We start from the raw sequence: 12,974 nt of genomic DNA, 5'->3' as shown, positions 1-12,974 counted from the left end.
GAGGGCAAGGACCAAGTGAAATTTAAGGATGTATAATTTGTATTTTCTTATAAGATTTTTTTAATCATTCATTTGCTTCTTAAATGGCCTGTGTGTAAAAGTTGAGAACTTATTCTTGACTTTTCTGCTTAGCTATCTTTCTTTTATGTTATCATAATGATGTCATAAAATGTCATTGCTTGAGATCTTCTACAAACAAATGATGTATTTACCAAGATTTAAGTTCACAATAACTTTAAAAGAAAGCTTGGTAAATTAAAAAAAAAAAGTTGGCCATTATCTGATATGATTCCCTGACCAATTAATAATTGTTCTTACATTTTTAAACCTTTTCTGATTACATATGAGTATTACATGGTTATTGCAGAAAAACTTAAACAAGAATACAATTAAAGTAATAATACATGTTTAAATACTATTAACATTATATTACATAAGCCTGCTTTTTCTTTACCCAGTTTTAACTTAATAATTTATCATAAATATTTTACATGAGATAAAAATATTTTACAATAATAATTCTTAATGAAAGCTTAATTAAATGAACACTGTAATGATAGGCATTTTTTTCCACTTTGTTTCAGTCACAGTTGTGCTATCATAAATAGTGCAGTTTAATTTTTTTGAATTTTTACATTTCATTTGCATGTATTGCTAAAAATATAATAGCTAGTTCAGAGAGAATGTACATTTTTGTGATTTTTGATCTGATTTTCAATTTACCATCCAAAGAGTTCTGCAGTTTGAAAGTCTTTGACGGGACATGATTCTGCTTGTTTCCGTATGTCCTCTTAATCACTAGATTACCTAATTTATTTTATTTTTTTTTTTTTTTGAGTTGAAGTTTCATTCTTGTTGCCCAGGATGGAGTGCAGTGGCGCGATCTTGGCTCACTACAACCTTCACCTTCCAGATTCAAACGATTCTGCCTCAGCCTCCTGAGTAGCTGGGATTACAGGCATGTACCACCACGCTTGGCTGATTTTTTTTTTGTATTTAGTAGAGACTGGGATTCACCATGTTAGTCAGGCTGGTCTTGAACTCCTGACCTCAGGTGATCCACCCACCTGGGCCTCCCAAAGTGCTGGGATTACAGGTGTGTGCCACCGTGCCTGGCCTTACCTAAGTTTTTAAGATGACTAGATATTGCTCATTTGAGAATCCTTGAAATGATAATTCATCATTACATAAAAGAATTTAAAATTGCTTTGATATTTTCTTAGAAGTAAGCTCTACCCTTTAAGCATTAAATCTCAGAGCCCCCACTGTTCGTGGTAGTTTAGTTTTTGGCCTTGTCTCCTATCCCTAAAATACAAACAGCTATTCTTTTGATACTTCAGAACAGGTTATCTCATATGCAAATAATTAAGATTTATGTTGGTTCATGTTTTTAGTGCTTTGTATTACTCGTTGAGAAACCTAGTGCAAGTCATTTAACCTCTCACGATATGTTTCTCAGTCTGACAAGTTGGAAGAATGTTTTTTAGATAAATTATTTTTAAAACTTTGAGATGAGCTAGGCATTTGGCATAGTGGCTTTTTAATACCTTCATTTTTGATAGGCAGAAGGAAGGAAAAGGGGAAGATGCTAGATATTTGTAGAGCCTGAAGAATTCTAATATACTTTTGTAAAGAATTAAAAAGGTATCAGTCAGTGTTGAGTAATTATATCCCAGTTGATTTTTGGTATCTTACTAAATAACTGCATTTTTATTTAAGCAAATTACTTTTAAATTAAGTTCTTCTGTTAACATAAAAGAGCATGTAATTTATTTTAAAATCAGAAAAACCAAGTTATTTTCATATTTGGGAAATGGGAAGAAAAGAGATTCATGCAGAGTCTTCATGAAATCTTGTAAATGAAGGTGAAAACTGTTAGCCCAGTAATTTAAAAAAAAAAATAGTTTTGGCTGGGCGCAGTGGCTTGCGCCTGTAATCCCAGCACTTTGGGAGGCCGAGGCAGGCGGATCACGAGGTCAGGAGATCGAGACCATCGTGGCTAACATGGTGAAACCCCGTCTCTACTACAAAATACAAAAAATTAGCCAGGTGTGGTGGCGGGCGCCTGTAGTCCCAGCTACTTGGGAGGCTGAGGCAGGAGAATGGTGTGAACCCGGGAGGTGGAGCTTGCAGTGAGCGGAGATGGCGCCACTGCACTCCAGCCTGGGCGACAGAACGAGACTCTGTCTCAAAAACAACAACAACAACAGAAAAAACCTAGTTTTTCTTTCTCATGAAAATAATCTCACCTTCCCATCTCAATTTGGCAAAATATAATAATGATAATAACATTCCTTATGGTCAGAATGAATAGTCACTGTAAGAAAAGTTTTTTGAAAACCTAGTTTTAAACGGTTCATCAACATACAATCTGTCATGGTAGAAAAGACTTGTAAACTGTAGAGATATCAATTCTGTTATTTAAACGTATATCTTTTATACAGAAAACAAATTATATTGATTAATGATTAGCTTTTTGTAAGTAACACCATTGAATTTTACCTAAGATAAAACTTAGCATTTTTGTACTGGGCGTAGTGGCTCACGCCTGTGATCCCAGCCCTTTGGGAGGCTGAGGCAGGTGGATCACCCGAGGTTGGGAGTTCTGATCAGCCTGACCAACACGGCAAAACCCCGTCTCTATTAAAAATACAAAAATTAGCTGGGCATGATGGTGGGCACCTATAATCCTAGCTACTCGGGAGGCTGAGGCAGGAGAATCTCTTGAACCTGGGAGGCGGAGGTAATAGTGAGCCGAGATTGCGCCATTGCATTCCAGCCTGGGCGACAGAGTGAGACTCTGTCTCAAAAAAATAAATTAATTAAATAAAGCAGCATTTTTAACTCAATAGGGTTTTTGTTAAAAAATTTGAAAGTGAATGCGTTGATATTGTAGGTACTTTACTTGCTTTTTACTTTATAAGTGTGTGGTTTGTTTCCTTAAAATAAAAATCCTAAAAATAGTGCTTAAATAAAATATCTTAAATTATCAATTTAATTATAGAGAATTGGCATATTAACTTTTAGATCTGGTAAAATGTAAATTCAATGCTAGCTTCTGAAGTGTACTTTCTTATATCTAAAGCTTGAAATACTAATGTATTGGTTTAGGTGAAGGTCTAAACTATAGCAATTTGAAGGGCCTTCTGAGTACTGTAATAATCTATAAATAATTAGTTGAATTACAACTGTGGCAGTTAAAATCCCCCCAGATGATAAATTCTGCTCAGTCATCTGCTTCATGGCAAAATACATAAAATAATCAAATTGCTAGGATTTTGAGGCTAATTTGTTTGTACTGCTGAGAAATTTGTTTTGTGAAATGTAATATTAAATCGTTAGATATATGAATTTTATATAAAGTTCATTTTTGCTTTCTTCAAAATATATTAGAGATAATTGGAATAATTTCCCAATAGTTTATTGGAAAATTTCCCATCAAACAGAAAGTGTTTTCGTAAATTTAGTGTACTTTTGGCAAGTGTCTATTCTTGAACTCTTAAATAGGAATGAAAAAGGGAGGGTATTAAAACTTTTGTTCTTAGCAATGTCTGGAAAAAAATCATCACTCCCAGTTTGATTTGTTTCATTAATTCTAGTCACATATACTTCTTCAGTCCTTACATGTTTTATATTGAAGTAATCAATGTTGAGGTTTTTCTGTGCATTTAGGTTATTTAAGATTTCTGATCTATGCTGAGCACTGAACTGTGTATTAGACACATACTCTTCAGTAAGTAAAGCATATGAAATTTACTACATTTTGTATTGATTTAATATTAATGTTAATCCACAATCTTTGGGTGCAATGTGTCACATCTGTTTTGTATTCCTCTGTTTAAAAGAAATGGCAGTATGGTATTTGGAGGAATATTTATTATCTGAGTGTTTTTCTTTGCAATAGTTTCCCTCAGTCTATTGAAAATTATAACCTCCAAAAGCCCAGCAAATTCTCAGGTACCCAGTTGCTAACAACCACAGTTAATTGGAATTTTTATTTACCATTTAAGTTCCTTTTATTTAAATAGTTGTAACTTTGGAGGCTTCTGGAAATGATAGAAAATAAATCTGTGGTGAGATTTACAAAAATATTCTTTTCTCTTAATAATAGGTCTAGCCTGTACTTCATGGATACTCTGTCTTTTTAGAAAAGACTTTGTTAGATTGAATGTTGATTTGTATTTAAAAATGAATTTTCCATAGGTGGTGGCTAAATATTCTTATCCTGTAGTAGTGTTTCTTAACCTTTTTGGGGGTCACGAATTTAAGTAATCAATGAATGCTAGAACCAGCTTTCCTTGGGGGAAAATTTATATAAACACAAACATTTTACATGCAGTTCTGATTAATCCTGCCTCTTCCTGCCCAATAGTCCAAGGGCCCCTGGTTAGGAAATGCCACTATAATGGAACTGAAAAAATCACTTCTTAATTTAGTTTTAACATCACATTATTATGTAACACTACATTTTCTTCACTACAAGCTTTATTTAACATTACATTTTCTCCTTGATCATTATATTATTAGAAGATAAGCGTAATGTAAATGTTATTTTGGAGAAAATGCAGTATTACCTTTTAATTTTGAAGCTGGTCTCTGAAGTTATGGAACGTATTTGACTCCTGTATGTCCTCAAGTTCTGCTTTAGATAAGTAAACAATTCACTTTACCTTTTGATCAAAGAAAAAGGCAAAGGAAGAGAGATACGAGTTCTTCTAGATCTTTTGTTTGAGAAAGTAGCTCTTCCTTAGAAAAATATGTTGCGTTGGTTGTTTGGCACAAAAATATGAGTTCTCATTTTATTGAGAGTTTGAGAAACTATTTAAGGGTTACCTGGTTGTGCTGGTTAAGGGCTCAGACTTGGAAATCAAGCAGGTTAGGGTCCAAATCTAACTCAGTTCCTTTCCAGCTATATGATCTTGGGCATACTACTTATCCCCAAAATGGAACCTACTCCATTAAATGAGATAATGTCTGTAAAGTGTTTTTTTGCTTTGTGTATAATATGCACTCAGCTGTTATTGTATCATGATGATGGTGATGATGAAAAACAGGATAAGCAGCCTTGCTTTTCAGTTGTAGTGTTTATTTTTTTCTATTTAAATTTAAGAGAGTAGATCTTGGTTGCAGAAAGAGAAGTTGTCACATTCCCCAGAATAATCTTCTCAAGTTGTGGTGGCTTACATTTGTCATAAAAATTTATTCAAGAATTCTCCAAAGATGGGGATAGCAAACTAACTTTTCCACATTTTACTTCTCAATGTTCAGTTGTTACAGTGGGGCAGTACGTTACATGTCATCCATTAAATTTGCCTCATGCAATTGAAGTAAATACTGAGGAGCAGAGAAAGGGAGAGGTTGCTAAGAGTGAATTAAAAAGTGAGCCCTAACATGTTTCTGGTTTTGAATATTGACACCTACATGGTCACATGGTATAGAGCCACATGTATTGTGTATACTTAGAGTAGATGATGTTTCTTTGCCTGTCATGTCATAAAGGAGAACTCTAATGTAAAAATTTTTCATAAGCTGTACAAAATGGCAATCCCCATACAAATGTCAGCTGTAAGACAGTATTCTCATTGTGGGTTGTATGGTATTTGGAGCCAAAGAAGAAAGGAAGAGAATGAAAGAGAATGATTTGTGTGACTATTTGATTAAATAAATGATGAAAGGAATTAACACCTGCCTGAGTGGAAGACTTTAAGTTCACTGAAAGGATGATGATTTTCAGACCCTCCTGAAAAGAAGTCGGATGACATCCTGTCTGATCCCTTTTTTTTTTTCATGTTGTGGTTGTTAATTATAACCAGGTAATAACAATAACAGTGCTTATGATGGTGGTTTTTTTGTATGTCTGCATGTGCACATATCCACACATATGTCCATATGCTTTTCAAGGTGCCTTAGAATGATTCATTCAGGTAAGAATCATAAATGTCAGTCAATAATGAATTATAAATACAGGAGAGGCTATGTGCATTCTGAATATTTTGAAGTTGGCATCATGGGAGAGTATTCATTGTATTAATCTATAAACCATCTATTGTTACCAGTGACAGAGAAAGCAACTGATTTCTCTGATTGAATTCATTATGGATTTAAGTCTGTGTATTTCATATGTGAAAAAAACAAACACTGCATAATCATTTTATATTAATGAAATATTAGATGCTGTCAGTATCATTGAGATATGAAGAGAACAGTTTGCCCTGTTATTTTTTTTTTTCTGGTAATGCCTGGTTTCATTCATTTATTTTCTTTGACCAGGCAGGAAGTTAGGAAAGTGATATTCCCCTTTTTCTGTCTTCTCAGTATCGTCAGTGAAGCAGGAGCATCAATCTACAGTGTCAGCCCTGAAGCTAACAAAGAGATGCCAGGGCTGGACCCTAATTTGAGAAGTGCAGGTAAGAAACTATGGACCATCACAAAAACATGTGATTTTGATATTTTGGGCAGCATGTGTGGCATGCTAAATATTCTAAATATCAAAGAAAATTTAAAAGTTATACTACATGCATAAGAATTGGCATATTAGAAAGAAAGTGGTTAATTGGACTAATAATTGAAATTATGGAAAAGAAGAGGAAGAATATTGTACTTTTTAAAAGAACACTACTGTTCTATAGTGGAAAGCTAACCCACAAAGTCTTTAGCAAAATTAAATGCTAGAGAGTTCAGTAATAAAAATAATAGGCCGGGTGCGGTGGCTCAAACCTGTAATCCCAGCACTTTGGGAGGCTGAGGCAGGTGGATCACGAGGTCAGGAGTTCAAGACCAGCCTGGCCAAGATGGTGAAACTCCGTCTCTACTAAAAATACAAAAATTAGTTGGGCATGGTGGCAGGTGCCTGTAATCCCAGCTACTCGGGAGGCTGAGACAGGGAATTGCTTGAACCCAGGAGGCAGAGGTTCTAGTGAGCCAAGATTGTGCCACTGCACTCCAGCCTGGGTGACAGAGCAAGACTCTCTCAAATAATAATACTAGTAATAATAATATTAATAATAAAAGATCCTAAGATCTTTTATTATTGTTACAAAATATTATTGAAGCTTTTTATTGGCAAAAAGTAATACAGTAACATAAAAATATTTGTAATACAAATTTATGAAAGTACACAGACTTTCAGTTTATTGCCAAATATTTGTCAAATGACCAGTCTCTCATCTTGCTAATAGAGTTGTCATTTGATCATGTTTTGCTTAAAACAGCTTGCTTTGATTTTAGTTGTATTTGATTGCTTTGATTTCTATAATGTGGAAGAGTCAAAATCTTGTGTGTAAAGAAATTAAGATACTATGATGCATCTAATGAAAGCAGTTGGTATCATAAGCAATATGTTAGATCAGGTCAGTGCATTTTTCTGTATAATAAGTGAATATTTAGACCACTTGGTTAGTAATGGACCTTTTATTTAATTTTTTCCTTAAATATTCTCATCAGATTTCATCGGCTGTTCTTGAAATCTATACCTGGAGAGATATATATGAAATTTTTACAGTAATCTAAAGCTAAAAGCGTTCTTACGTCCAAAAGAGCTTGTAGTTTCCCTTTAGTTGTTTCATGACATAATTCCCTCTCTAAAATGATCATCTTCTTAAATCTGAGCTAAAAATCTTGCTTCTCCTGGGAAGCTGCTTCTTAGCACAGCAGCTCAGCGTGATCTCTGTCTCCTTACCATGTACTCTTTTGGTGGTTGCCTTATAATAATAATGGCAGAAGGAATAGAAATAGTAGTCATACTGGGAGCTGCTAATAGTAATTTTTTAAGCACTTAGTATATGTGAAACATTGTGGTAAGTATGTTACCAAGATTATTTTATCCTTTCTATTCCCCTGTGAGGTATTTATTATTATCCCCACTTTTTAAAATTTATTTATTTATTTATTTTATTTTATTTTATTTTATTTTTTTTGAGATGGGGTCTCGCTGTCACCCAGGCTGGAGTACAGTGGTGCGAACTCGGCTCACTGCAAGCTCTCCCTCCGGGGTTCATGCCATTCTCTTGCCTCAGCATCCCAAGTAGCTGGGACTACAGGCGCCTGCCACCACGCCTGGCTAATTTATTTTTTTGTATTTTTTAGTAGAGACGAGGTTTCACCATGTTAACCAGGATGGTCTCGATCTCCTGACCTCATGATCCACCCACCTCGGCCTCCCAAAGTGCTGGGATTACAGGCGTGAGCCACCGCACCCAGCCTATCCCCACTTCTAAAATAGGAAACTGAGGCTTAAAAAGGCCACATAGCCAGTAAATGTGCACATAATATTTGTGTACCTAATTTCTATGATAAAAGGGTACTTTCATTTATAAAAAAATAAAATCCAGAATTTCTCAAGTTGCTATTGAGAAGGTATCTCCCAATAGTGTGTTGGAAAAAATATTTAGACCATATTTTCTGAGAGGTAACAATCCCTCAGGCCTCCCGCTGCTGAAGATACTGCTGTTTCTTCTTAACCACTGGCCCATGTGTGTAAATAATTGTCACAGTATTATAGGTGAGACAGAATTACAACATTCCAACAAGATTCTATGAAAATAGAAGATAATAAAATGGAGAATCATTCTATGATTCTAATTACTCTAATTTCAAAGTCTAGCTGTGTCATCAGTGTGTGATTCATTTTAAGTATCTGTGTCTTCCTTCTGTGTCTTAGCTCACTTCTATGTGGCAATGACCATGTTTAATATATACCTAGAAACTTTGAGTCTTTAAAATCTGGTCCTGGAGTCAAATATTCAAAGAGCTTGGAGTCTCTACTCTTGGTTTTCCAGAGTCCACTTTCTTTTCAATTCCTATTTCTCATTGGGAGTCTTTCTTTTTCCTGGTGATTGATGCCAGGGGTGACTTTTTACGTTATGTGAGATCTGAGCTACCTACGAGTGTGGATTTTTTACCTTTAAGTCCTCTAAAAGTTTGCTGTATAAGAATATAACAGAACTTCAAAATTTATATGTGTGTTAAGCATATGTAAGAAAATAACCCTCATTACTACATCTCACTGGCCAGTTTATCAGCTTATTGAAAACAGAAGTTGTCTTCTATATATATGCTTATATTCCCCCACAATGCATGGTACATGGCCTCTAAATTGGATGGATATAGTAGATGGATGATATTAAACTGTCTATTATGGATTTAAAGTGGAAGATTGAGTGTATGTTTTATTCCTTCTCTCCTTCTGAAATTGATTAAAATGACATGATAGAATGAAAGCATAAACCTACTAAGATAAAACCTACTAAGATAAAAGGAATGGGAAAGGAGATAGCAACAACAACAACAAGATTTGAAGCTTAAAGCAGATAGATGAGCAATAAGTCACCTAGTCAACTTGAGAACATTGAATTCTAAGACAGCATTGTAGAAAATACAGAACTAACCTGGGATGGATCACGAAACCCCTATAGGTTCAGGAAATGGTGCCAAGTACTTTGGAAGTATGGTGAGAGCGTTGAGGCTAGGTTGAAAATGAAAGTATTGGTTGAAAGTCTGTTTAAAAAGCAACGAGACCAAATTAAACATAGGCCCAGCAATTTCACTCCTAGGCATGTCTCCAGAAAAATTGAAAACAGGTACTCAACCAAAATACTTGTACACAAGTGCTTATAGCAGCATTATTTATAATAGCTAAAAGTTGGAAACAACTCACATGATGAAAGAATGAACAAAATGTGGTATAGCCATACAATAGAATATCATTCAGCCGTAAAAAGAATGAAGTACTGGTACATGCTACAACACCATATGAACCTCAAAAATGTCATGCCAACATAAGTAAAAGAAGCCAATCCCAAAAGACTACATATTGTATGGTTATATGAAATGTGCAGAACAGACAAATCTGTAGAGATTGAAAACTGACTGTAGGTTGTCAGGGACTGGGGAGAGACAGGAATGGACAGTGACTGCTTAATGGGTACAGGTTTTTCTTTTGGCATAATGAAAATGTTTTGGAACTTGATAGGAGATGGTGGGGCACAATATTGCAAGTATGCTAAGTAGCACTGACTTCTGTACTTTAAAATAGTTAATTATATGTTATGGGAATTTCACCTCAATAAAATAACAATAACAATTAACATCCCCTTCCACACAATTGAGGAACTATCTTTTTACTACCTTTGCAGAAGACTGGGGATTTGTTCTCTGGAGAGGGTTAAACAGAAGGTTTCTACGATAGAGGGCACAGCTTACAAATGAGAGTGGGGATGCTACTGAAGTAAAGGGTAGTTGAGTAAATATTTACATGCTGTTTTAGAGATGTTAGGAATAAACCTGTGCAGATAAGAGGATTCTGCCAATACAAGAGACAACATTGAAGAAACTTGGGATTAGAGGTACCACAAAGAAATGGCCAGAGCACCCAAAGTAAGCCATAGTTGACAAGCCTTACCACTGGGCAAAACACTTAAAGTCATTGTTTTAGCATCCTGCCCCTGGTGGACAGTCAGAGGTCACCTAACATGTAATGAAAACTTCTACTATTAATATTAAAAACAGATGCCAGAATACACTAGGGAAGAAAAAAAGCTACTTGGAGGAAATAGAGATGATGAAGACAGAAGAAAAAGTTTAACATTCTCAGAGAAATAAAAAAAAAATTATTTATTTGGAGATATATTTACATAAAGTAAAAGTCACCCTTTTTAGGTACATCATCTATGAATTTTGAAAAGTTTATACTAGTTGGGTAACCTTCAGTCTACCTCCATTATGTCAGGATACAGAAAATTTTTTTCAGTTCAACATCTTTCTCAGCTTCTTGTTCAAAAATGTAATTATTACTTAGAGGGTCAGGATTACAGTAGATTTGCATCGACTTCTAAAACTACATTTTAATAAGCATTATAGTGAAAAAATTCTAATTTAGAGTTGTTGACTGAAAAAGACAACATGGGGGAATTTTACTTATTTTCCTCTGTTCCTGTCTGATGTCAAGGAGAAGGATAAAATGAGATGAATATTGGACTTTAAAAATACAGATATCTAATATTGCTAGATAACAGGATGAGACAAATTTTAAAGAGAGTACAGTTCAGTATAGTCTTTTAAGCAAATAAACTGATTTGCTCCAGAAGCTTTAGGATTCTAGATATTTCATAGAACTGAAAGGCCAAAACCCATGACATTCTTTTTATTCTTTGGATATAAGACATATTATGAGTGAGGAGAAATGTTGCTTTCAAGGCTACTGCATGTGGTCATGCAAGTTATATACTCAATCACTTTACCATAGGAAGTAGCTCTGGTTGCATATCTTTTAGGATGGTAATCTTTACTCAGTCTGGGATCCCTTCCCAACTTTTGGTGTGTCAAATGTAATTTTTTTCTCTAATGCTTAACTTTTTCTATTAATATCCCATATTAATTGTCTTCCTCTATACATTGACCTATGTTACCATTTAATAAATTAGCATTTATTAAAAAACCTAAAATCCCTATGTGTACTTTATGTTCTTGTTTCAGTGGTCTGTCTAGACTACCACAATGCAACTCTCTCAATTTCTGTGGCTTATAATATGCCTTGCTTTAATTTTTTAAAATTGCATTTTTCATAGCATTTCTTTTGTGTTTTGCAAATGAACTTTAAAGCCTTTTAATAAATACAGTTGACCCTGTGCACGTGCCCACGGATTCAACAGTGGATTGAAAATATTTTTAAAAAACAACACAGCAATAAAAGTAATATAGATTTGAAAATATAGTATAACAATTATTTACATAGCATTTACATTGTATTAGGTATTAAATGTAACCTATAGGTGATTTAAAGTAAATGGCAGGGTATGTGTAGGTTCTATGCAAATGGTACTCCATTTTATATAAAGGACTTGAGCATCCGCAGATTTTGGTGTCTGCAGGGGTCCTGGAACCAATCACCCAAGGATACAGGATGACTGTACTTTTAAAAGTCTATAGTATATAGAGTGAAATTCTGTGAAATTTCCACTTTCATCCTTGTTCTGCATGTTTTATTTTTATTATTCATGGGTTTGTGTGTGTGTGTGTGTGTGTGTGTGTGTGTGTTTAACGTTGTGAATAGGTTTTTCTCCATGATTTGATGTTTTTATTGTTTTTATTACATTTTAATTTCACCATACTGTACGTAAAATCTCTGTAATTTATTAACTTATAACTACAATTATGTACCCTTTCACCAGCATCTCCCCATTCTCTCCACTCCCCAACTCCTGTGTTATTGGTTCGATAGCATATGGTAGAAGCATCAATTTTTGTTTGTGTGTCTTGAAACTACCCAACTAATTGGAACCTTATTAGTTCTGTTATTTTTTCATTTGACTTGCTTAGGTTTTCTAGGTAGACAATCATCATACATAAATAATGTCATTTCAATATTTATATCTTCCCTTTTTGTCAAGTTGCATCAACTAGAGTTTTCTGAACAATGGTGAATAGTAGTGATACAGCAAACTGTTGTCATTCATTATATGTGGGCAAAATAGTATTTGGCATACATTTGGACATACTACATTTTAAAAAATAATAGCTTCATTGAGATATAATTTACATAACATAAAATTTACCCTTTTAAAGTGTACAAGTCAGTGTTTTCTAGTATAGTCAGAGTTGCACAACTATCACCACCGTCTAGTTTTATAACTTCATCCTAAAAAGAAACCCATGCCCATTAGCAATCACTTCCTTTACTGTCTTCACTCACCACCCAAACTCCTGGCAAACATGAATCTACTTTCTCTCTGTATGGATTTTCCTGTTCTGGACAGTTCATATAAATGAAATCATACAATATGTGGTCTTTGTGACTGGCTTCTTTCACTTAAGCATAATGTTTTCAAGATTCAACCATGCTGTAGCATGTATCAGCACTTCATTTCTTTTTATTGGCAAATAACATTCTATTGTATGGGTATACAACATTTTGTTTAGTCATCAGTTGATAGATTTTTTTTTTAACATTTTTGGCTACTATGAATAAGGCTGCTATG

The 12,974-nt window shown here is 34.4% G+C and overlaps 1 protein-coding gene across 8 annotated transcripts in view; it reads left to right on the top strand.

The window, feature by feature from the left end:
* SRBD1 (S1 RNA binding domain 1) overlaps positions 1-12,974 on the top strand; it is a 222,588-nt gene that overhangs the window by 116,621 nt on the left and 92,993 nt on the right. For 6 of the 8 annotated variants that reach the window (NM_018079.5, XM_047444862.1, XM_047444861.1 and 3 more), the window contains one exon: positions 6,316-6,407. The exons of the other annotated variants lie outside the window; for them this stretch is intronic. In NM_018079.5, coding sequence (NP_060549.4) covers positions 6,316-6,407 — 92 coding nt within the window. The remainder of the gene's footprint in view (positions 1-6,315; positions 6,408-12,974) is intronic. 8 annotated transcript variants of the gene reach the window in all.

The sequence above is a fragment of the Homo sapiens genome, chromosome 2, assembly GCF_000001405.40.
Source record: "Homo sapiens chromosome 2, GRCh38.p14 Primary Assembly".
NCBI classification, from domain to species: domain Eukaryota; kingdom Metazoa; phylum Chordata; class Mammalia; order Primates; family Hominidae; genus Homo; species Homo sapiens.
The sequence above is the reverse complement of the archived record's forward strand: the minus strand, read 5'-3'. Positions and strand labels throughout refer to the sequence as shown.